This window comes from Homo sapiens, chromosome 7 (assembly GCF_000001405.40).
Source record: "Homo sapiens chromosome 7, GRCh38.p14 Primary Assembly".
NCBI classification, from domain to species: Eukaryota; Metazoa; Chordata; class Mammalia; order Primates; family Hominidae; genus Homo; species Homo sapiens.
In genome coordinates, this window is record NC_000007.14 from 47324403 (window position 1) to 47350546 (window position 26144).

At 47.0% G+C, this 26144-nt stretch overlaps 1 protein-coding gene across 25 annotated transcripts in view, besides 2 other annotated features; it reads right to left on the reverse strand.

Moving 5' to 3' along the window:
* TNS3 (tensin 3) overlaps positions 1-26144 on the reverse strand; it is a 307433-nt gene that overhangs the window by 49249 nt on the left and 232040 nt on the right. For all 25 annotated transcript variants that reach the window (XM_047420733.1, XM_047420729.1, NM_001410878.1 and 22 more), the window contains 3 exons: positions 21785-21954; positions 20522-20636; positions 20353-20436 (listed from right to left, as the gene is read on the reverse strand). In XM_047420733.1, the coding sequence (XP_047276689.1) occupies positions 20353-20436; positions 20522-20636; positions 21785-21954 (369 nt within the window). The remainder of the gene's footprint in view (positions 1-20352; positions 20437-20521; positions 20637-21784; positions 21955-26144) is intronic.
* Positions 2159-2764: an enhancer, noted in NCBI's record as "H3K27ac-H3K4me1 hESC enhancer chr7:47366159-47366764 (GRCh37/hg19 assembly coordinates)". NCBI's record gives its function as "activates a minimal SCP1, AML or CMV promoter by ChIP-STARR-seq in naive H9 embryonic stem cells {active_cell/tissue: H9 hESC(naive)}" and the evidence as "EXISTENCE:reporter gene assay evidence [ECO:0000049][PMID:30033119]".
* Positions 19941-20441: an enhancer, noted in NCBI's record as "H3K27ac hESC enhancer chr7:47383941-47384441 (GRCh37/hg19 assembly coordinates)". NCBI's record gives its function as "activates a minimal SCP1, AML or CMV promoter by ChIP-STARR-seq in primed H9 embryonic stem cells {active_cell/tissue: H9 hESC(primed)}" and the evidence as "EXISTENCE:reporter gene assay evidence [ECO:0000049][PMID:30033119]".

Sequence of the window (26144 nt, forward strand, 5' to 3'; positions counted from 1 at the left end):
TGTCTTCCTATCCACAAACATGGCTTTCTCTCCATTTATTTTTATCTTTTTAAATGTCTCTTAACAGGGCTAGGCAAGGTGGCTCACGCCTGTAATCCCAGCACTTTAGGAGGCGGAGGCAGGCAGACCGCTTGAGGTCAGGAGTTTGAGACCAGCCTGGCCAACATGGTGAAACCCCATCTCTACTAAAAAGACAAAAATTAGCCGTGTGTGGTGGTGCACATCTGTAGTCCCAGCTACTCAGGAGGCTGAGGCCAGAGAATCACTTGAACCTGGGAGGCGAAGGTTGCAGTGAGCCAAGATCATGCCACTGCACTCTGGCTTGGGCAACAAAGTGAGACTCCATCTAAATAAATGAATAAATATTTTTTAAAAGTCTCTTAATAAAAACTTTGAAAATCTTTGAAAAACTTTGAAAAATGTCCCTGTTAAGAAAAAAATAGTGTCTTTTTAAATAGTCTGCGCATAACTGTATAATTCCTGTATCCCTTCAATTGTCACCAAGATATCCTTGACTTGATTTCCTCCAGTCAAGTGCAGCATGAGCTACAAAGGAAACTGGGACTTTTCTCGTGATGATAAATCTAGTAGGCAGCAGAAGTGATGGGACCACTGGGAAAACTATCAAGGGAAACCAGACTTGGAGGAGTCAGCTTGGAAGCATGATGGACCGTGTGGTTTTGTGTATCCATTACTCCCATCAACAGATGCACAAAGAGGGGTTCCCAAGACCCACATCTTCCAGAAGCAAGCCTTATCTTTGGTCCCATTTCCTTCTTACCTCCACAGAGCAGTAAATGAGTTCCATAGCATTCTAGAAGCTTTTCTATCTGTACTTGGTCACTCAAGAAAGCCAGGCATCCCACTGGTGACCCTCGTCCTCCTGCCAGCTGAGCCCTCATTCCTCTATCTTCCACTCCACGTTTGTAAAACCCTGTTTAACTTTAATTTACTTGGGTGACCCGGTACCCACCTGCCTTCTCCACCCAGCTATCCATTCTACCTGAGGCTAATCAAGAATCATATGTCCACAGAGAACACTGCTCAAGGAAGGCCACAGGCCACTCTGCTATCTCGTGGTGGAACGAGAAGTTGACATTCCAGTGATTTCTTAGTCCTGCGTTCTTAGGTTATCTCCTGGTAAAATCACAGTGAGCAATGGGACGGAGCAAGAAGGCAGAGTGTGCTGTGTGACGGGGACCTTCTGGTCCCTTGACTCTTACTGTAAACTCATTCTGTTTACAGTCCCTCCTGATAGGAGGGAGAGGCCACCTGTCTCAGGTGAGCCTAATGTAAACAAAATGGGCATGGTATTCTCATCAGACCACAGGACTTCGAGCCATCCCAGACCTGTGTCTGACAGCAGTAAGACCACCTTCCATGCATCACACCCACCAGGCTTCCTGTCCTGATCCTACATCAACTAGGCAGCTTGATTGCCTTGGATGTTATTTTTTTTAAAGACAGGGAAGTGGAAACAGAAGGGTAGAGGAGAGAAGGTCAAAGTGCGCAGCAGTTAGAACTATGTTGATGCATGGTCCTGGCTGCAAACTGCCTTTTTAGAACCATGCGGATTATCAGATCCCAGCTCCAACCACGGGAGCTTTCACTGTGCTTTTGGAGAAATGTTGCCATCAGTACAGGTGCCAATCTGAATGTCAACAGCTTTTAAATCACACAGCTCTTGGGACTGTTGTAAAATCCTGTTTATATGACACATATCAACTTTTCATATAAAGAAAGTAAAATGGAAATCAGAATTACAGCTCCCTTTCTCTGAGTGCCTACTATACACCAGGCACTCTGCTAACCCACACATAGGTGTTATCTGATTTAATCCTCATACAAACATTTCCACATGCAAATCATCTTATGGATGAGGAAACAGATTCTGAAAAGTGAGGTTAAGAAGCTTATTCAAAGGAAGCCAACTCATCTGTTGGACTCAGAAAACTATGTTCTTTCCACAAGACATCCCTGCCTCCCACCAGCAGGGTCTGAGTCAGAACGCAGAATGTAATACAATTACTCTGCCCCTACAGGAGGACAAGGAACCTTCTGCACAGGTTTGCCCTGGGGATTAGGAAGGCACAGGTACTCTGGGAGCAACTTAGAGCCCTGTCACTGAGGTTCCCCCTTAGAGTGCAGGAAGCCCCAGCAGAAGACAGCACCAGGCTCCCCACGGGCCACCATGGCTACAGGTTGGCCAAGGGAGAAAATCACCCCTCTCTCGAAATAGGTGGACCAAAATTCTTTTAATCTCACCTCCAAAGTCAGAAAACTATGTCCGTCCTAACCAGACAATCTCTAATACACTGACACGCATATGGAATTCATGAAAAATTACTAATGTATATAAAATACATTAAAAGGACAGGAAACTTTTGAAAAGATAGCATCTTCCATCAGCTGGAGAGCAATCCATCAATCCTGGAAGGGATACTGGGCAAGATTTTCAGCCTGGGAAGGAGAAGCTGGACCTTGAGCCACTTGGGCTTGTCTCAGAGCGGCTGCAGTGCTCGTTTCACAATAAAGAGCTCTGGGTTTTCCCCTCGCTCCCTCTTAATCTTCCCCATCCTTCCAGCTGGAATACACACACACACGCTGTGTCGGCTGCAGGGCCAGCAGAATCACAGGCCAGCCACGCAGAGGAGGGAGCAGATGCCCAGGAGGCCCACCCTGGGCCCAGGCGCCAGCCCTGCCCGTGCTACCCCCAGTGCCTGGCTGACTCTCCCAGGGTCCCACAGAGCCCCAGCCCCAGTTCAGACATTTGGGAGGGAAGGGACAGTGAAGAAACAAAGCCCCTAGGTCCAGAAGCTCTGTTAACATAATCTGAGCAGGTTCTTTCAGTGAATGCATGGGTTTTTGTTTTTGTTTTTTTCAATGACATGAACTCGTTTAGAAATACTCTCTTTGCTTGCTTCAACCACAGAAGAGACAACAGTAAATCTCATTTTAGAACCCAGCGCCTGATCCTAACGCTTGCTTTCGGCATTTAGTAGAAACAACTGTGCTGGGTGCTCAGAAGTGCAGCCTTCTGGTCCTCTGAAGGTCCTGCTGCCCGCTGCCCGGGATCCCTCAAGGGCCCTGGAACTGGGGTGGGGGCGGTGACAGCCCTGGAATGGGGCAGGCTCGCTTTATCAGTTTCAGTAAAGGAATGCACTGTGCTAGGAAGCAGTCCTGTTCCAGAAAAGCTGCACATCTGTAAACCAGGCTTTTGTTAGCCCTGAGTGAATCTCAGCAAAGACAAAGCATGACTTTCTTCTGGAAGGACTAGCCCTCCAGGCTCAAGGGCTGGGGCGTTTTGTCCCAAAGCCTTGGCGACTTGAGAACTGTCATCAAGTGACAAGGGGACTCTTGGAACAATCAGCCCTCCTCCCAAGTCCTGCCCAGGATTCCTGGCCCAGTGACCTCTGCATCCCACCTCATACCCCTCCCCACCCCCCTCCACTGGAGCCCAGGAGATCAAGTTTCAGCAAGGGCAACTGGATCCGGGCCAGAGGCGCCAGGAGCACAGAAGACACCAGGCGTGTAGGGACTGAGCAGGAAGAAGCAATGAGTCCCAATGTACAGCTTACCTGGCACCCAGGACCCTGGTCAGTCCATGGAAGGGCCTGGGAGGATGTGGGCCAGACAGAGGGAACTCCTTGGGCTGTGTCCCCAGCAGCCCTACGTGGTGAGCAGAGTCCCGAGTCCCTGTCCCAGCGGTGGCGTCCCCCACCCACCCAGGCAGGGCTCTGTGTTCCGGCCTGTCCCGAGGGAGTCGTGCAGGGGGCGGGGCGGCCACCTCCAAAGAGGCCCATTCAGAGGGCGGCCGAGAGAGCTCAGGCCCGGGAAAGAATCCCGGGATTGTTGAGCTGCTGCTGGCTGTCGCGGGCGGCCTGCCCAGTCAGTGCCTCCAGACGGCCCTGGCCCCGCCTTGCTCACTGCTGCGGTTTGCTTCCTTTTCATTTCTTTTCACTTTTTCCTCCCCCAACTTTAATTTCTTGCAACCTCCCTGCTGAAACCCAACCAGGCTTAGTTTCAGCCTCAGGCCAGCCATCACCCAAGGCACAAGCGGCAGGACCTGCCCACCATGCCCCCAAACCTGCCCCTCCAAAATCAAACCCCCATTCCCCTGGGACCCCACACTCACAGCAGAGAGAGGCTTCCAGCAACTAGCCAGAGAGGAAGTGGAAGCCTGAACAGTCTCTAACAACAAGGATGTCCCTAGTCAGTCCTCTGCCCCCCACCCCGGCAGGAGCCTACACCCATGTCCCTTTCCTCTGGATGGGGCCATCTGCCTCTCATCTGGCCTGGCCACCAGGCTGGAAGCCTTTCACTCCTCAAGGCAGCCCAGGGGACCTTCCAATGCAAATCCCACCCTGTCACTGCACTGCTCAAACCCTGCAGGTTTTCTTCCGGGCCCCAATGGGCTATAACATCCTGCCCAAACCCTGTCCTAGAGCCTGATTCTGGATCCCTCAGCCTGTTCTGCCTGGCTGGCACCTACTGTAGGCTGTTGGCAGCCTCTACGCACTGTGTCCCCTTTCTTCCATGTTCTTTGCTCATATGCTTCTCTCATCTAAAAGGCCAAACTCCTAAGCCAACTGCTGAAAAACTCCTATACATTCTACAAAGCCCTTTTCAAGTGACCCCACATTTTTTTCAGCATTTGGAACACCATCTCCCTCAGTCAAGTCAAAGTGCTCTGTTCCCGTGACCCGAAATCTGACTATAACCCAGTCCACATGGCAGAACATAGGGGCCTGTCATGTGTCTGGGCCTTAGAGACACGGTACATTACTCAGGGTTTTCACAAGGGGAAGCACAGAACAGACACTCACTCCTGGCTTCTCTTGTCTCTTGTGTCTGGCAAAATCCCACTCCCTCTTCAAATGCTGGTGTGTCACCCCTTCCCCTAGAAAGCTCTCCCTGGAAGAGCAGGTCCCCGTTCCTCCTGGGCTGCCTCCTTTCTTACAGCCCCTGTGCACGCCTGTGCTTCCAGCACAGCTTGCTGCCCAGCCTGAGCCGAGCCATTGGCCGGTCCAGCCCCTGCACGACCCTGGCACACTCATCAACCTGTGAAGAGTGGGCAGGTCAATGCCCTACCCCAAGAGGGACACGGCTTGCCTGGGACCCTCAGGGCCACCGCTCCGCACATGGGCCAGGAAGATCCCTGGGACCTTCCTCCCAAAGGTCTGAGTAGGCATTTCCTCCCTGGTTGTTTATGTGTTGCAGAGCAGCAGCTCCTGCAAATGATGCTGTCGGAAATGCCTGACCACGGACAGAGCAGGCTCAGCGGAAGCGGATGGACTGGCCTTTCCCGTGCCTGTCACTCCCCAAGCAGAGAGGAAGGCGGCACGGGGCGGCACCAGCATGGGGCAGCCAGGCCCAGGAAGGGTGACTGTGACCAGGATGGCACTCCCAAGGGTGGGTCCCATTCCCTCCGTGGAACTGTGGGCTCAGTGACTCGGAGCAAACCCACAGGGATGGGCAGCAGGGAGGAGGAGGCAGGGCATGCTGCTTCTGTGCCCGTGTCACAGCCATGACTGGGACAATCCTGAGTGTGAATCTACAGATTTAAGCATCTTCTGGAGATCTGTTTATCTTTCCTCTCTTGCTTCTTTCTCCTCAGCTGCAGTGCCAGGGACTAAAGTGATTTCAAAGGTGGGCTCCAGGTGGCAGCAAGTCCACTGAGGAAAAAACATTTAAAAATTCTTCCCGGACAGTCTGCTCCCCCCACCCAAACACCCAGAGATCCCCGGGGACGACAGGACCTGGACTGTCCACATGTTGACTCTGCTACAGCCAGGACCACCCACTGCACCTTAGCAAAATCAAGCAGGGGTGCAAATCAGACACCTGGAAGAGGACAGCCCACCCCACCAGCCGGCAATGCCAGGTCTCCTCTCAGAAACACAGGTGCTGGTCTCACGCAGCTCCCACTCTGCGGGCTCAGGCCCTTTGCAGGCATGATGCACTCAGCTCCCTGGAGCTGAGAGACTGTCTCTCTCCTTCCACTTACCCATCAGAAAACAAAACAAACTTTTATCCAGATCCTTCTCTGTGTTAGATGCCAGGAGTGTGATGAAGACTCTGCTCTGGAAATGTCCTGAGGCTGAGGGAGGGAGGGTGACACCAAATCCCAACCCAGGTCCCACTGGGAAGTCACATCCTTCAAATGCAGGTGAGAGCGAGGCAGCAGAAACAAAAGGACGGAGGGAAGGTGAAGCAAGGAGGGAGAGGAGGAACAGAGGGAGAGAAGGGGCAACAGGAGTTTCCCTTTCGGAGGAAGACACAAGCAGACTTGGTTGCCAGAGGGAGGTGAGAAAAGGGGCATTAAACCAAGGAGAAGGGAGGAGCTGGGGCGCCCAGAGAAGACACACGGGAAGGGATGAGCAAGTTTAAAGGTCTCGCAGCCTCCATAGGGGGCACGTCCTTCCTGAGACACGACCTGATCAGCTGGATGGAATTCTCCCTTAACACCCTCCCACCAGCCCGCACTGCCTGTCCACCAGCCTCACGGGTCCTACAGGGGCTGCATCCCATCACCTCCCACATCTCTGTCCCACCGGACTCGGGCGAACCTTATGTGTGCACACAATAAGAGGAACCCTGGACCAGCCCTACTCCCAGCGATCAGGTGATCTGCAGGTACCTTTGAGGACTGGGCACATGACTTAGCAAAGGAACTTCAGATGCTTTATGTGAAAGCTGCCTCAAAGACGGTGCCACTCCTGCAAACTGTGAGTCTCTCTACTACATGCAAGGCAGTTCTCGAAGGCCTGGGAAGGATAGTCAGGGTGACCCACAGGTTCTGTTTTCAGCAACAGGCTCTGCCCCAATAAAACAAAACTAAGAGGGATACTAGAATGCCTCCGAGGGACCAGGCACTGCAGACTGAGATCCTCAGCTTTATTCGAATGTACTTGTTTGTTCCTGAGAATTACGTGCTGGCCAGCACCCCAGGGCGAGCTCTACTCTGGGGTTCTTGAGACTCAAGTGGAGTGCTCACTTGGGCATTGCGGAGAAGGAATTAAAAACAAACACAAAACACAAACCCTCCACAACCTCAGCGACACTGGGACTTCACAGTAACCCAATCTCATGCTCCTCTGGAAAAATCAAATTCCAGTGAGCTGCTCACACCATCCCTCTGCCAGGTGACACATGGAGACCTGACCTCTGACGCCCATCGCACACTTGGTTGGCCCTGAAGCATCAGAAAAGTTTACTTTCATTCCAAATGATGGAATTCTCACTTGCCTGGCTTTCAGGATTTTTTGTAAACTTGTTCATTTGCTCTTTCTCTACATGTGTGCATATATAAGTGCATGGCCTGTAAGAAGTGCTCAGAAAGTGGCAAATGCCTCAATCTAGGCAGAGCCATAAATACCTGCACACATAACACACATATGTACCATATAACATGTCTACATATGTGTGTCACTAAAATGTGATAGAATTTAAACAGACAACAAGGTGGTTCCTGGCCTAAGTAGGACAGCCTGGCCAATGCCTATCTGTTGAGGAGGTACACTAATCTGGGGGGCACCTTGGTAATGCCCTCAAAGGCTCTGATGGGGCAGGCCCGGGCCAGTAACAAATGTCAAGAAGCAGACTACATATTCCTTCTTCAGCCCTCTCAGTGACTCAAGACATCTGACCCTTCTGCAAGTCTCACAATCCCAGACCCTCCCAAGTGTGTCAAAAAGAATGGGTGCATTTTGGCCAGGAATCACAGCCTGAAGGGACAGTGGTAACAGGTGCTTCAGAGAAAATGCCCAGGCATTTTACCTCTTGACGCCCAGTGCTCTTGGGACACCACTGTGAGGCAGGCTGCTGTCTAGAGGGGATGGAACTGTGGGGAGGTGGATTACAAGGTGAGGGCCTTCGGAGGAAAGTAAAAATGCAAGGGATACCAGGTAAATGCTTCCAGCAGGGAAACATCCTTGCACATTTTATATGCTGGGGCTTCATAAGCATTTTCTTCCAAGCCATTCCCAGTTCTAAGAGGCATCCTGCTGGGCTGAACTGCCTTTTCCTGTTCAAAGCAGCGAGGAGGAGACAAGCCCAGGCTCAGGCCCGAGCTGTGGATTCCGGATTCCACACCAGCCACAGGCTGCTTCAGAAGGGACCCCAGCCCGCGAGCTGCCCCAGGGCCAGGACCGCCTCCCTTCCTCAATCCCGGGATGGAGCACAATTCTCATAGACAATGGGGCTCAGAAAATGCTTGAATAAGGAAGTGCATTTTGAATTTAAAAAATGAAATTTTAAGACAAATTTTTGTTACACTACCGTATTCACAGGCTGAAATTTTCATTTTTAAGAGACTTCCCCCAACACCATGCATGGCACACATATTCTTATTTTACTTAGATTTAAAAGATGCTTTCAGAGGTTATGCAAACTGTTCAAGATCACAGAGCTACAGACGGGCAGGACCAGAGCCACATCTGTCACCAAGCCCCAGGGCCAGCATCAAATCCTGTTAGCAGCACTTCAGAATAACTTCTACATGCTGAGGGTCAAGAACAGTCCACCAGGAGAGGAGGGGGTAATGGAATGAGCTGATAAATAAATTTAGAAAAGCAGATTCCTCTAAACCCAAAGTGAGCAAACGAGAACATTCAGCATGGTAGAGAAGTCTGCAGGCTGACATGGGGACACTTCCAAGCTGGCCTGCTCCGCGGATGAGGTGTCAGCACAGAAAGCCAACACCTTTTTTTTTTTTAGCTTCATCACCCTCAAATGAATTCATGTTCTCATCTCAAAAGACCCCTAAAGGCACATTCACAGGCCAGCACTTTAGGCTGACCTCCACGAACCCAGCACTGATGTTTACTTTTAAATATAATTTAGAAGCAGTCAACTTTTCTTTTTCATGTTGTTCATCTGGGGCAGGGGTTGGAGGAGGCTGCGATGTTTGCTAATCCACACCAGTTTTTTGGGGTCACCATGCACCAGTGTGCATTCTTTGGCACTAATTGGAATGCAAAGTACATCACAGGCATGTATCCAGGCATGTCTATTCCTATGCACACTTACATATGCCTACGTACCTGAATATAAACCCATGGAGAAATCCATATAGGAATGCATGTGCTTTTGAGGCTCTAGAAAATCCAAAGTAAACAAGGGCCTCTATAAATGTCACACATATTCACATTCAGTACATGCCTTTGTCCCTATTATAAACATTCTCATTCAGAGCTCATAAAAATTCAACAGAAAAGGGAGTCGAGTACAGGAAAGAAAGAAGAAGATTGGTAAAAGCATTGTATCTGTCAATTTTTGAAGGATGACAGCTTTTTCAATAAAAATAAAGCATTGTGTCAAAATAATCTCTCTGTCTCTGTCTTCCTCTTGTCCTCTTCTCACGCTGTGTCTCTCTATCAGTCCCTGGGGCTCTGAAACTATTTCAATAAGAAAGTGCATTCTGAATTAAAAAACTAAATTTTAAGACAAATTTTTGTTACACTAGCATATTCATAGGCTGAAATCTTCATTTTTAAGACTGCCCCCAATACCATGCATGGCACACACATTCTTATTTTGCTTAGATTTAAATGATGCTTCCAGAGGTTATGCAAACTGTTCAAGATCATAGAGCTACAGAGGGTAAGGACCAGTGCCACTGGTACTGCCCTTTTCTTCCTCCCTGTGGCAAACATCATGACCCTTTGAAACCTACCAAATCCAGGAAGTCCGCACAGCACCAACCAAACCCCTGTGTCCCCTCTTGTGAGCCAATGAGGACCACTTCACATGCTACCACTCCTGATCAGTCTCATGCACTGGCACTTGGATGGAGGCAATCCTCCCAGCCCTTCACAAAACCTCCAATCGACAGCAGAGAAGAGGCTGCATGCTTGGAAGCCAGGCCCCTAAAATGCCTACACCCTACTCTCCAGAAGAACTGAACACAAAATAGAAGTTGCAAAATATATAAAGGCATCCTCTTGAAGTAAACTAACATTAACTGCTAATCTTTTTCACTGAAGCCTAAAGTCCCCAAACCCCCTCTGAATACCACTTGTAAAGCTGTTATAGGATAAGGATGCTCTGGAACTACCTAGGGGCGATGGTCTCATGACTCCGTAAATCTACTGAATGCTGGTGCAATGTTCACCTTCAAATAGATGCTTTTATGTTATGTGTTTATATTTTTAAAAAATTATGAAATAGTTTGGAAGCTGAGATGTATCAGAACCACGACTCTTTTTTTTTTTTTTTTTTTTGACAGAGTCTCACTCTGTTGTCAGGCTGCAGTACAGTGGTGCGATCTCGGCTCATGCAACCTCCGCCTCCTGGGTTCAAACAGTATTTAAATCCTGCCTCAGCCTCCCGAGTAGCTGGAACTACAGGCATGCGCCACCATGCCCAGCTAATTCTTGCATTTTTAGTAGAGACAGGGTTTCACCATGTTGGCCAGGATGGTCTCTATCTCTTGACCTCATGATCCGCCTGCCTTGGCCTCCTAAGGTGCTGGGATTACAGGCATGAGCCACTGCGCCTGGCGAGAACCACGACTTTTTAAAGGAAACCTTTTCTCATGTCTTTATTATTCATTTGTTTTGAAAATATCATCAAGATTAAGGATCAGCTAAGAAACAGAATAATTTACATCTTACATTTCATAATTTTATCTATTTTTGCTTATAGGGGAGACTTGAGATTAAACGACTCCCATTGTTACATTTTTACAAATATTTTTGTTTTCAAGAAAAGCATGTCCATTTGAGGCTCCCATGTGGAATTTCTGAGAAGCCTAAGGATACTGTCCTCCAACACATGGCTCCTGGGGCATAATGTGGCCATGTGGCAATACATTCAACAGACGGACGATGGCGAGGGCTGCCACTGACGCTCCCGCTTGAGGGCCCCAAATGGGTGAAGCCTGGTTGGGCCCGTCCTCATAAAGCTGGAGGCATTACATCAGTGCCTACAGCTGCTCTGCCATCTCCTGCTCCTGTCCCCAGTCCTTCATGCTAATCACAACCTCTTTTAAATGACAACACATCCCTAGGAGAATTAAACAGTATTTAAATTCATATTTAAATATGCATAATGTGAGCAGATATTGAAATACCCATCATTTTCCTGGAGTAGGTGCTGGCATTTAAAACATGAGCACACTGGGCACAAGCACATCTCTGGGAAAAGCAGGATTCCCAGGGCTCAGCCACCCAGGGCCAGATGCCCAGGGGCCTTCTCCGTCCCCCGACTCATGCTCTGAACCCAGACTTACAGTTGTCACTGGTCTCCCCAGCTCAGGGAACCGCCCTTCATATGGATGCTCTGTTCTCCTAACAGCATCAGTGTCCACTATTTGCTGAGTGTTGATCAGGTCTGGGCCAGGAGCCAGAGCTACATGTTCTGGTCCAATCTTCTCAAGAACCATGTGCAGTAGGAATGACTACTGTTGTACAGGACATGAAACTAGGGCTCAGAGAGGTCCCTAGAACTGCCTGAGCTCACCCAGATAGGAAGTCTCAGAGCCACTATATGTGTGCATCCAGCATTTGACCAGAGAGAGAAGAAATGTCAGGAGAGGACCCACCAGACACCACTCTGCCGTGTCCTTTTAGGCCTCCCTATCTGCTGAGAGATGCTTCGGACAGCAGTTTCCAACAGCTGAGTGTTGTTATCACAGAGCTTACTTGAGCCTGGCAATGGGACTAGAATCCAAATGCTGAATGCGGAAAATCTTTCCAAATATTTGAATGTCAAAATGCAGAAAGATCTCTTTGGTCACTTCAGCCTCTATTCTTCATGACTAGTTAGCTAACACCAAGCAGAGTTAAAAAAAAAAAAAAAAAAGGCAGTGAATTTCTACTGTTTGGTGTGTCAGGGAAGCTTGGGGCCGATGGAGGGGTTGATTCATAACGTTTGCTAAATCCTGTGGTGTAAACAATCCCGCCCTGGCAGATCCCAAGCTGCCAATGTGCTGTCAGCTGGCTCACAAAATTCCTCACACTTCAGCAATCAGCTCTCGGTACCAGCAGGTTCTGGCAAGCCCCAGCTTTGGGCATTCATCCCCCTTGGCTTCTGTTAGTCACATTATTTGGAAAAGACTCCTTTAATTCACCCATCTATTAATAAATCTAGAGATGTTTTGGTTTGCTTTTTGTGTATTCTGTTTATTGTTTATTGAAGAATCGCTTGTTTGTGAGAAGGGTGGGTGAAGGATGCCTGTGGCAGAAGCTGGCCCCAGCTGGCTCCCAGGCCACTTGGCACGGAAGCCTTATGGCTAAACTAAGTGCCCATAATACCCTGTTTTCCATGATGTGATTATTACACATTGCATGCCTGTATCAAAACATCTCATGTACTCCATACACACCTATACTATGTACCCATAAAAATAAAAAATAGAAAATAAAAAATTATAAACTAAGTGCCCAAAGGACCTGGAGAGAAACACAGAGAAGCGTGCGGGCTGCATTTGGTCACCCTATTGCGTTAGCCTGGATACAGATGGGTCTATCTTGTGACAGACTCTCCTTGACCAAACCTTAGCCAGGCTCCTCCAAGCCCTCTTCTCCACTAGGCCTCAACATTGGCCTTCCACGTCCAACCGTGGCAAGCTCAGTTCCAGCAAGAATCCTGCTTTTCATCCCCCACACTTGATATCTAATCCCCCTTGACACGTCATCAAGCTCCTCATCCCTCGCCATTTGTGTCTAAGTCCCTGGCCTGTCTGTAGCAGAAACCGTGTTAGGCCAGTTTAGCAAGAACCCCCCTACCCTTGATGTCCCTTCTTAATGACTTTCCATCCACCAGATCCTTTTGCTCTATTCCTCGGTCATAAATCTCCAGCTGTCTTTGCTGCATTTGGGGCTGAGCCCAGCACTTTCTCCTGTTGCAATAATCCTGAATAAAATCTGTCCTTACAGCCTTTAACTAACTGGGCTATTTCTCTTGGACACCTATCCTGGTGGTTGTCTGGAAAAGAACTTAACACATGGGGCTTATGCTGACTAAGGAGGTATCAAGTTATGTTTTAGTAATGCGATCTGCAGAGGAATTTTATGGAGATAGTGTTATACTAACTGCATACTAATTAACAAGAAGCCAGAACCTAATTTAAACAATAATGACAAAAGCAATACAATTAGAAAGAGCAGTCAGGCTCCAATTCCACTGTGTTAAGGTCAGCTGATTGCACCACCTGAATCCTACACAAATGTTCTGATTTCCTCCTATCTCTTCTGAAACCATTTGGTCTGTTCCAGCCCACTGTCCATCCCACCGTGTTCTTCATGCAGCAGCCACAGTGATGTGTGAAAATGCAAATCTGAGCAGTCACCTCCCCATCCTGAGGTTCAGTAATGACCTCACATTGCATGTGGATGCCACACCACCACCTTCTGGGAACTACAGAGAACGGCTCCTGGCCTGGCTCCACCTTCCCGACCTCTTACTCCACCACTCTTCTGCCAATCTCCTGTTGCCTTTTTGGCTACTCCATTCCCCTTCTACTCTTGCCCCTCCCAACCATTAGCAGACATGAATCTCTTCTCTGTGTCTACAATTTTGCCATGTAAAAAGTGTGACATATATGGAATCATACACTATACAGACTTCAGGTTTTGACTTTTCTCACTCAACCTAATGTTCTAGAGACCCATCCGGGTTGTTGTGTGTATGAATAATTCACTTATTTTTATTGCTGAGAAGTGTTCCATGGTATTGAGGTACTACAATTTGTTTAACCACTGGCCTGTTGAAGGACATCTACAGTTTGGGGCTATTAAAGTAAAAAGAGTTCCTGTACAGGTTTTATGTGAACATAAGTCTATTTCTTTGGGATAAATGCCCAGGAATGCAATCACTGAGTCACATGGCAGATGTAGGTTTTTCATTTTTAAGAAATTGCCAAAATTGTTTTCCACAGCAGCTGTACCATTTTAACAATCCCTCCAGCAACGTATAAGGGGTCTAGTTTTTCCACATGCTCACCAGTATTGGATGTTGTCACTATTTTTTATTTTAGCCATTCTGATAGGTGTGATTTAAATTTATATTTTGCTAATGGCTAATGATGTTGAGCATCTTTTCACGTGCTCATAAGCCACCTCTACGTCCTCTTCAGTGACATGTCTCTTTTTTTCTTTGAACCATTTTCTAATTTTTTTTCCTACTGAATAAAAATCCATTTATTTAATTTAGTCAGTGGCTTTTCTTTTTAATTTCAACTTTTATTTTAAATTCAGGGGATACTGAATTTGCTTAGGACAATGGCCTACAGCTGCATCCATGTTGTTGCAAAGGACATGATTTGGTTCTTTTTTTACGTCTGCGGAGTACTTCGATGGTGTATATGTCCCACATTTTCTTTATCCAATTCACTGTTGATGGGCACCTAGGTTGAGTCCAGGTCTTTGCTATTGTGAATTGTGCTGTGATAAACATACAAGTGCATGCGTCTTTTTGGTAGAATGATTTTTTTTCTTTTGGGTGTATATCCGGTAATGGGACTGCTGGGTCAAATGGCAGTTCTGTTTTCAGTTCTTTGAGAAATCTTTAAACTACTTTCCACAGTGGCTTAACTAATTCACATTCCCTCCAACAGTGTATACATGTTCTTTTTCTCTGCAGCTTTGCCAGCATCTGTTGTTTTTCGACTTTTTAATAATAGTTTGGCTCATTTTCTAAGTGAATTGTTTGTTCTTTACTGCTGAGTATTGAGAGATTATATACATTCTAGATGATATTCCTTTTTTTGGACATGTGGTTTGCAAACCTTTTCTCCTACTCTGCAGTTTGTCTTTTTTATCCTCTTCACAGGTTCTTTCCATAGCAAAAATGTTTAATTTTTATAAAGTCTAATTTGTCAACTTTTCCTTTTATGGTTCATGCTTTTGTCCTAACCTCATAACTCTTTGCCTAGTGATCCCAAAGATTTTCTCCCATTTTAAAAAATACTATGTTTTACATTTTACATTTAAGTCCATCATCCATTTTAAGTTAATTTTTGTATAAAGTGTGAGCCTTTGGTGGCTGTTCATTGTTTTGCCTGTGGGTGCCCAGGTGCCCCCGCATCATTTGTTGAAAGGCTGACCTTCCCCGACTTGCTTCTGTACCTTTGTCAAAAAAATCAGCTGGGCATATCTGTGTAGGCCTGTTTCTGGGTTCTCTACTCTGTTTCATGAACCTAAGTGTCTGTTCCTCCATCCACACCACAGTCTTGATGACTGTAGCTATACAATAAGTCTTGAAATTAGGTAACCTCATTCCTTCCACTTAATTCTTTCTCAAAGTTGTTTTGGCTATTCTGGTTCCTTAGCCTTTCCACATAAATTTTAGAATTATGTTGTCTATATCTACAAAAAAATCTTGCTGAGATTTTGATAGGAATTGTGGTAAAACTGTCTGTCAATCTGGAAAGAAGTGACAGCTCTACTAGGTTGAGTTTTCCATCCATGAAAACAGTATGTCTCCCCACTTATTGAAATATTCTGTGGTTTCCTTCATCAGCATTGTGCAGTTTTCAGCACAGAAGTCTTGTGCATGGTTTGCTAGGTTTACATCTAACCATTTAATTTTTTTGAGCTATTATAAGTGGCATATATATATATATATATATATATGTATACATATGCGATCATATGCCACCTCTATGTCCTTTTCATAAATATATGTATACATATGTGTATATGTGTGTATATATATACATACGAATATATGTGTGTGTGCATATACATATATATATATATATATATATATTTTTTTTTTTTTTTTTTTTTTTTTTTGAGACGGAGTCTAGCTCGTCGCCAGGCTGGAATGCAGTGGTGCAATCACAGCTCACTGTAACCTCCACCTCCTGGGTTCAAGTGATTCTCCTGCCTCAGCCTCCTGAATAGCCGGGATTACAGGCACGCACTGCCACGCCCAACTAATTTTTGTATTTTGAGTACAGACAGAGTTTCACCATGTTGGCCAGGATGGTCTCGATCTCTTGACCTCGTGATCTGCCCACCCCTGCCTCCCAAAGTGCTGGGATTACAGGCGTGAGCTACTCCGCCGGGCTGTGACTTATATTTTTAATTTCAGCTTCTACAGGTGCATTGCTAGCGTACTGAAATAGAACTAGTTTTTGTGTGTCGAACTAGAATCCTGCAAAGTGGCTGAATTTGTTCTAACAGTTTCACTTTTTGTTGTTGTTTTGTTGTTCCCTGGGATTTTCTTTTTTTTCTTTTTTTTTTTTTTGAGACAGAGTCTCACACTGTCGCCCAGGCTGGAGTGCAGTGGTGCAATCTCAGCTCACTGCAAGCTCCGCCTCTTCCCTGGGATTTTCTGTTTGGACAATCATGTCAGCAGCAGACTCAAGATTCCCTGGGGCTTTCTACGTAGATGATCATGTCACCAGCAAAAAGGGACAGTTTTATTTCTTTCCTCTCATCTGTTGTCTTAATTTCCTTTTCTTGTATTATGTCTCTGTAGAACTTCCAGAACTATGTTGAAAAAGAGTGCTGTCAGCTGTGGGGCTTTTTAGATGCTTTTTGTAAGGTTGAAGGAGTACCTGTCTTCTATTTTGCTGGAAGTTTTGAGTCATGAATGATGTGAATTTTGCCAAACTCTTTTTATTCTTTTTTTGGATTGACTGATATAGTCGTGAGCTTTTTCTTTAGCCTGTTAGTATAGTGTATTACATGAATGAATTTTCAAATACTAAACCAGCCTTGCATCTCAGAATATGTCCCATTTGGCTACAGTGTGTCAATCTTTTTATATATTGCTGTGTTCTATTTGTTTATGTTTTGTTAAGGAGTTTTGTATCTGAATCTGCGAGGGATATTGGTCTGTAGTTTTCTTTTTCTGTTCTTTTTGCCTGGTTTTGGTATCAGGGTAATACTAGCTTCACAAAATGAATTAGGACATGATCCCCCCTCTTCTGTTTTCTGGAAGGTATTGCGTAGAATCAGTGTTAATTCTTCTTTACATGTTTGGTAGAATTATCCAGTGAAACCTGAAGATTTCTTTTTTGGGAGATTATAAATTACTAGGTCAATTTCCTTATAGTTACAGGGTATTCAAGTAGTCTATTTCCTATTGGGTGAGTTGTGACAGTTCATGCTCATTAAGGAACTGGTCTATTTAACCTAAGTTTTAAAAACTATGCATGTAGAGTAGTTTGTGTATTCCTTCATTATTCTTTTGGTGTCTGCAGGGTCTTTAGTGATGGTGCCTGTTTCCTTCCTAACAATAGTAATCTATGTCCTCCATTTTTTTGTTAGTCTTGCTAGAGGTTTGTCAATTTTATTGATCTTTTCAAAGAACCACTTCTTTCATTTATTTTCTCTATTACTTCTCTGTATCTTTTTAAATTTCTGCTTAGATTTTTATTATCTCCTTCCTTCTGCTTGCCTTGGGTCTAGTTTGTTCTCCTTTTTCTAGGTTATGGAGGTAAGAGCATAAACTATTCATTTCAGAATTTTCTTCTTGCCCAAAATTTCCTCTCAGTGCGGCTGTATTAAAGCAGTGGATAAAGCCATGTCTCACAATTTTTGATATTTTATCCTCATTTTCATTCAGTTCAGTATGTTTTTGGATTTCCCTCGAGACCTCTTCTTTGACCCATAGATTATTTATAAGTGTGCTGTTCAGTTTCCAAGTGTTGAAGGTGTTCCTGTTGCCCTTCTGTTACTGATTTCTAGTGAGTCCATTGTGGTTGGAGAACATGTTCTGCATGGTTCAGTTACTTTTAGTCCTCTGAAGATTGTTTCCTGGCCCATAGATATTATAAATAAGGCCTACCGGGTCCCTTGGCCCTGAAGTCCATGGCTAGCTGGCCTATTTCTCCCCATCTTTCAGAGCTTTCTTATATTTGTCTTATACTTACTGTCCAAGGTTTTAAGTTGTACTTAGCAGGAGAAATAGAGAAAAGTATGTCTAATTCACCCTCCGGGAAGTGAAGCCTCTCCCTAATGGTATTTTAAAGCAAATACTGTCATTTATATGCACATCAGTATCTAGGCCTAAATGATACGCAGTTAAGCATTACTGCAGATGCCTAAAGCCTACTACTTCAAAACTGCACAGTGGCTGTGAATGGCAGGTACTATAGTCTGCATTTTTAGATAAGGAGGTGGAGGTTCATAGGGGTTACCTAAATGTACAAATTACATGGTTATTCCATGACTGTGAGACTTTCCATGTGCTTTTTAGTTGTGACATTAGGTCACTTCTAGGTTAGACAAGACAAAGTGAAACATCAGCCCTGTATAATCTGCCCATGGCTGTGGAGTCGGCTGATGGAGCTGAAACTCTGACTTTGCCACTTACTAGCTACTCAACTTCTTCGTGTCAATTTCCTTGCCTGTAAAATGGGGGTAACAGTAAGAGTGACCCATAGAATGTGACTGTGAAATGGAAGGAAATCATAAAGATCAGGGGACACATTCTGTATGGGCGAGCTACCTCTGTTATTACTGTGCCCTTGGAGGAGTCTCACAACTCCACTTGACTTTGCAGAGTGGGTGGGGCCTCCTGGCAAGGGCACTGGCTCACCACACTGTCTGATGAAAGCATCCACTAAGTCAGCACTGTGTTATCTCTGTGCTCCTTGTGGGCTAATGTGAAGTTGACCCTCCCTGGGGACTGCTGAAATAAAAATCTAGAAGGCTCACATTAATATTGTTATCATGTCACCTTTTTATATTTAAAGGCAAAGCCCTGACTTCTTCTGTGTGAATATGTACATGCAGATAGTACTCAGGACAAGTTGAAGCCACTGGAATCTAACACATGCTGGTGTGCAGAGCCATCCTCATCCACACATAGTGCAGCGCTCATCCACGCACAGGACATGGAGCTCATCTCCAGGCTGGGACAATCGGGCCAGCATAAGACAGCCAGGCCACTGGGTACCCCACGCTGAGCACCCAGGCTTCCTGCAGCCTCCTAGACCCTTCTGGAGTTTAGACGGGGCTCCACATTCTCTTATGCTCAATACAGTGATCTTAGAGGCCTCCCTCAGGAGCTGTTAATGAGTTTGCAGGCTGTTTCTAGTATTTTATTTCCTCAGGCTTATTACCCACCTTCCACTGTTTGTCATCTACCTATTTCAAACAAACCCGGTTTTGGTGTTGCAGGAGAAGACAGGATTCCAGGCCAGAGGGCTAGATGCCAGCCCAAACCCACTGAACACTTTCAAGCTAGGAGCCAAGTACAGTCACCTCCATGAGGAGGAGGGGTTACATGGGGTGGAAGGGACATCCCTCTTTCTGCATCTATTGAAATGATAAAAAATATAGAACAGATGCATGGCTACCTATGTGTGAGTCCATCATGCTAATGCATATTGGAACATACACACTTCTCATGTAATGCTCACATAATGTAGACATTAAAATGCAGCTTATTTTAAATTTCAGTAGCACTTACTGAGAAATACAGGCAGTATAACTGCTATATGCTACATATGAAGAGAGCAATTTATGGTCCTGAAACCATAAAGGGAATTTTAGGAGAAGGATGTCTTTCTATTACATAGTCCACAGGCTTGGTTTACTATGGAGAAAGAGAGAGAATGGAGCTAGCTGTCATGATCACAACACTCCTGGGTAAGGGGTAGATGAAAATACAAGTTAATGAAAGTCTCAGTCTCAGGTAACGTGCCTAATAACCATTAACAGCAGCCTTCACTAGGGCAAAAAAGCAGCAGCGTAATGAACGAAACTCCCAGAGAAGAGTGATTTTGAAATGTGCACGAGCTTTAGGTTTACATTCTCTCTCCACCTGCCTGAGCTCGGCCTTGTCCTGGACTCTCAGGCAAGTCCTCAAGTCCACCCAGAAGAAGTGCACAGTAACTCGCCCTAAACACCGCCCACTAACACTCTCTCGCCTGAGCCAGCTATGCAGACAGACGGACGCGATCAGGCCATGGACAGAGCCCCTGAGTTCCTGCAGAGATCCAGGGACAGTGATTAGGCACCCACTAATAACAGACAGGAGGGGCCACAAGGTACGTGTGAGAAGGCAGCTGGGGTGGCAGAGCTGGGGCGCCCGTGCGGCACAATCCCCACAGAGAACGTGAAGTGTGGGGTGGGCATTCTCGTTTCTTCAAAAGCACCAATGCTAAGCTGCCCGACAGTCACCACTGATGGTCCCATCAACTGCATATTACAGGAGGGTTCCCCACAGGATGCCAGGCAGCGATGCAAGGCCAGGTTGCCACCACACAGTGGATTTCACGGCCACATCCCTACATCTTTCCCAGCAAGATCCATCCTCATCCAAGGCTTCTGAGATACGACACAAATGGAAACATTTCTGCATACGAGTTCTTCTCTGTAAAAATGGCGACCCCGCGATGCAGCGCCTGAGTGCCGCGCGCCTGTGACCCGCGGGTAGATTTCTTACCACGTCCTCCTTTGTGCTGACTGGCTGGGCTGCTCAGCGGGGGCTCAGGTGGGCTGAACGGAGGATGGCGCAGCGCTGTTTTCACTGGAAAAGAAAGCAGAGCAAGGGGCTGTTGTCACCCTCCTTGGGCATGGAGCAGCACATGCAGCTAGTGTTACTTCATTCTTACCATACGGTGTCTCTGGAGACACAGGAAATGCTGGAGTTGAACACATGGACTCCTTGCTACTTAAAATTCTGCCATCGATAATATCGAGGTCCTGGGGATAGCCAGGGGTCATCGTCTGAAATTGGCACAGGGAGTAGAATGTGAGAACAGGGAGTCAAGTGAAGGCCCCTCCAAACAGTTGTGGTTGTGGCTCCCCCAGGCTGGCCCACTGAGCAAACCCCTCCTCTGACAGTAGGACAAGGAGGCTGAGGTCTGGATCCACTGCACAAAACCAGCCCGCCTCTCCTAGCCATGGAAAACTGGAAAACACTTTCACCTTCAACAGTAAAGGAAACGGAAGGTATCTTACGGCCCATCCTTCTAATACAATATACAGCTAATAAGTGAAGTAGACAGAGTTTGTAATGGTACAGGTAAATGAGTATCTCAATATTAAGCGAAAAAGCTGGATAAAACAGTCCTTACCCATGGTATTAATATATTCACAGATGCATAAAAACACATAGTATTTTAAATACATAGCACAGAAAAAAGGCCGGGTGGAAATATTCTAAATATTAACAGTGGTTTCCTTTGTGAGTCAAGACTATGAATAGCTTTTTTTTCTTGTGAATTCTGTAGCTTCCAACTTTGCCAACTTGAAAAGAAATCCCACCCAAGTCTAAAATAATTAATCGTTTTGGATACACCGACCTGCTTTACATCCATTCTGACTAGAAGCCTTACCTAGGCCTCTTGGAAGAGCAAGAAGCTCTCATCTGTGGCCCTCATCTGTGGGTCACCTCCTAGGGAGGTCTCGGAGGGAGGACTGAGGACCCTGTGTGAGTGTGATGACCCTGAAGGAAGGCTGTGTGTGCCACTGGCTGCTGCTGTCGGGCTATGGAGAATGGCTAAGGCCAGGCCTATAAGAGCCCTACCTCGAACCCACACAACCCACCCACATGCTGTGCTCCTTGTGCCCATTCTACAGATTAGAACATAGAGGCTCGAGTGCCCTGAGTGAGGTGGCCTCACCAGCATAGCTATCTCTGGGGTGCATTACCCAGGCCAGCTGACTGCACACTGTGCTCTCCCAGCCACACCGCTTGCCAGGTACAGAGGAGCCACGACCATATTTGTGAAACCAGGACGGAAGGTGGGTGCGGAGGATAATGTGGGCTGTATTCAGGGACAAGGCCTGGTCATTGCCCATTCACTCGGGGTTCCAGGACAAGAAAGGGAGTGGAATGGGCCCAGAAACTGGGACCTGGCTGTGGCACATACCTCTTTGACGTCCGCTGGTGAGGGGAATGGCGGCAGGTTTGGGGCATAGTCCACACCAGCCTTTCCCCATGCACATTTGGAGAAGGGCAGCTGCCCCCCAGCATCGTTGTCGTACTGCCCCAGGCTCAGCTTCCTGAGTCTCCCGCCCAGGGGCTGTTCAGCAGAGGAGCCTGTTAAAAGGGAGACAAGCAGGCTGCAGGGCGCTTCCTCAAGGCGGAGTGAGGCGCCCCTTCCTTAAATCTTGCCTGCTGCTTCTCAAAGGTGCTGTATGCTGCATCCTGGTCACCACTGCTCTGGGAAGATGCTGTGGTTGCTGAAGGCAGCTGATGGGAAACCCAGGGCATTCTCAGACTCTCAGGGATGAACAAGGCCACAGCCTTGGAAATGTGCAGCTTCCCCAGGCCAGCATGCTCCTTCCAGAACAGGCCACTTGGAGATAGGACCAAGCACCCAGACTCACTCTCAGTGCTGGGAAAGGACAGTGCCCGGATGGAATGCTGGGTGGGACTGACGATGACCCAGCTGGGAAGGAGGCCCCCACATGCCACCCCTGGTGTCCTGTCAGGACCAGAGTGCCCTGAGGACCACACACCTGCGGTGACCTTGGGCAGAGCATGGCCCGACTATGATAATTTGAATCTTAGCAATGAGAAATTCTGGAGAGGGAAAAAACCTATTATTTCAAGCATCAACAATAAATATTCACCATCCCAATCTTTCCTTGCCAGAAACACCACAGGCGGTTATTCCTGACACAGATCCCTGGGGTCCCCACTCTTGACCAAATTCTGTTCTTTTTGTGTTGGTGAAAATGGGGGTCGGGCTGGGATCTAATTTTCTAAAACCTCTTCCCAGGGATTCTTATCATTTGGCAGTTAGGAAAAACCTGCTGCCGGCTATTAAAAGAGGAATGTTTCTATTGATGACATAGTCTGAATATGCAAACCCAACAACACTGTCCCCTACAGTTTAGATTTAAACTATAAATACATAGTCCCTGTAAGTGTAGAGTGCAGAGTAGCATTTCACTGAAAGATGGAGTTTGATTCATAAACATGAGTGGCCCACATAAGGCTCCTCTTAGAATGACTTTGTTCCAAATTGGTTGATGGCCACCCTCCAAAATACATCATGATAGTGACATACAGTCGTGCTGAGTCCATGATATGCCACTGACACCTCCTACATCCAGAGACTTCAGAAGCTCACAGGAATGCAAAGGTCGGCATGATAAAGAGAAGGTTCCACAGAGAGCGACAAGACATCAACCCACCATGCCTGCCTGAGAGGAGCAGCAGGACCGCTGTAAGGTTTCTTGTTTCTGTCTGCAGCATGGGGGGGCTCCACTGCCCGACCCTACCAGCTACTAGATGCCATTCAGGTGAGGCTTAAGGAGGCTCCTGGGCTGAGCCAGGCTGTACACCACCCTCCCTGTCCCATGGGACATCTGCTCAGCACCACACAACAGCGACCAAGCAAGGGAGATCCAAACACAGGTCCTTCCAAGCAACCTTCCACCTCTTCCTTCCATCCTCTCTTCGGTTCCCAGCAGCTCCCTCCACAGATCCAGGGAAAGAAGGAGGAAGAAGTGTGCGTTAGGACCTGGGATTTGGGGTCTCACGTGTATCCCTCACCAGCTGCAGGACATCCTCAGCCCCCATTTCTTTATGGGTAAAATGAGCATAATGCTTGCTCTCTTTTCCCTCCCACAAGGGGGAGGATTAAATGAAATGAAATGGCATATCTGAGAGTCCTACTCACACAGCAGCCCCTCACTACAGCATCCTCATCCCCATGGTGCAGTGGTCCTCATCCTCACACTCACCACCCTCCACAGGACGCAAGTGCTGCAGGCCAGGGAGGGGACCACCCTCACTCCAGTGCTCTTCAACACACACATGCATTTGCAGCCATTCCAAGAATGAGTTTAAAGAGGGCTAGCAGAGGTGTGAGGTCACAAAGTTGGGCTGGCCCCACGCACCACCTGGTACTCAGCTCAGACGTGGAGTTTGTTCCTGAAGCAGTCAAGGTGGCAGGCGATAGCCCTGGGTGTTAGTGACGGAAAGGAAGTGTCATGGCCACAGACAAGTGACTGAGAGCCTGGTCCCCTTCCTGGAAAAAGGAGCCATGCAGCTGGCCTCAAGGGAAATCATTCCACCAGGGAGGACCTATCTTTGGAGAGCACCAGGAGCTCCGCTGCCCTGTACTGACATTACAGTCCACTCACTGCCTAGAACTTCAGAGGTCACTTCTAGAGAGGTAATTTTCAAAGGGGAGGGAATAGTACTTCTGTTCAACATGCAAGATAATATGTGGTGTTTTATCAAAAATGACATGGCAGTATCATTCCAACATGCAGTGTTGCATGAAGAACACAGAAAAAATGGCTATGCAAATCACCGATTTGAGCATTGTACATTGTATACATTTATCAAAATATCACACTGTGCCCCATAAATATGTACAATTATTATGTCTCAACTAAAAATAGTAATAATAATAAAACTGTGGACAGTGTGGTCAAGTGTTCTCTTTGATCTGGAGAAGGAGGATGGGAAGTGCATGTTAACGCACTCTGATCTCAGGCCTGAGGTTGGAAACTCACTGGCTTCAGAAACTGAGGTCCCATTAGGGTTAGCTGACAACAGCCAGCACAGCCTTGCAGCTGCACTCGAAGGCACAACCAGGTCGTAACAGGGTCCGAAAAGGAATTTCCAGGACTAAAACATAAGTCTCAATGCAGGACGCTTAGACTTCTTCTAACCTTTCAACTTGGAAGTTTCCTTCAACATGTCTCCTTTAGAGCAGCTAGGGAATACAATCTGTGCATGAGCTGACACAGAGCCAACAGTGGGCTCCGTTCTGGGCCTCCCACACCAGAGGAGGCTCTGAAACACAGGCATTCTGTGAGCTGGCCCCAGAAATGTTCCTGTTGAACACATGGATTTGAAACTGTTCCTCAATTCTCTCTCTCCCCAAAGAATTACAACGAAAAACAATGTTCTTCATTCAAAAAGAGTCTCAAAAAAAAATCAATCTTCATTTAAAAAAAGTCTCAAAAAAAATCAATCTTCATTTAAAAAAAGTCTCAAAAAAAATGTTCTTACTGTCCCACCTCCGGTGCTTGTGCTCAAATCTGTGTGGCACCATGTCTGGTTAAGCAGAACTACATGCCTCTCCCTCTGGATGGATCAATACTTCTCAGTATCCTGCCACTGGGACCACCAGGAGTAAGATGGTTTCCACAATGGAGGGAACTCAGCGACGGAGAGCAGCTGTGGGTCTGAGGCCAGAAAGAGGCTCTGCAAGCGCAGGAAGAATGGGGGAGTCAAGGCACCTGCAAAAGCAGGGCCACCGGGCCCTGGATTCCAGGATGTGGCCTGTACAGAAAGTGTGGCTTCAGCCCTGCAGGGTCCTGCTTTCCATTCCCAAAAGGGAAAAGACACAGGCACACAAGGTCAGCAAGGCTCAGGCCTCTGTGGGGTGTGGAGATCCCTTCCTCTCGGACTGCAAACCTTGGAAATGAGAAGTTTGAAACGCCAGGAAAAAACAGGACAAAATGAGACAGGGTTTAAGATACTGCAAAACCACTACGTGCTAGGATGCACCCACATCTGCCCAGGAGGTAGTTACAAAAGAAAGAAAAACAGGAGACCAACGTTTATCCAGCAACAGTGACAGTCTAAGCCTGGGCAGGTGCTCTCATAGAGAAAAGCCCATTATCACTCCATTAAGGCGGCCTGCTACGTCTTTTTTGCAGACAAGGAGAATGGAGGCTCAGGTCTGAGTACTCATCCTACACCACACAGCATGTCAGCAGAGAGCAATGATTTGTCACCACATGTATCTGACTTTAAAATCCACAACTGCCAACTCTATTCCTCTGTGGTCACTCTTCCTTACCCACTGGTGCCTTTCCTTCCCTTCCATCCCTTCCCACCCCAAAAAGCCTACACGGGGCAGACAGGGGCCCCATGAGCCCTGGGAGGCACTGCCCACTTCCACTGCCTGTGGTGACAGAGGGGCCCCTGGGAACAAGATGGCTACCCTCATCCTGCTGAGGAAGGGGCACTCTTCCTCCCGGACATGTCCTGATGGGGCAGCCAGCAAAGGCTTCACAAATTCTTCTGTCTCTCGTGTGAATTTCAGATTTAACAATGGTTTATTCTTCCCAGTCTTAGGAAATCTGCCAAGTGTCTAAGTAAATACATGGGGTCCAGCAGAGAACCTGGTGGGGGTGCATTTCCAAAGGGTCTGAGTGCACAGCAGTCTAGAGAAAAGGAAGGAGGGACAGTTTTCAAGTTCTTCCCATCTGAGAGTCCTTGGCTACGGGGAAGGTCAGAGAAGAAGAGAGAGGGCA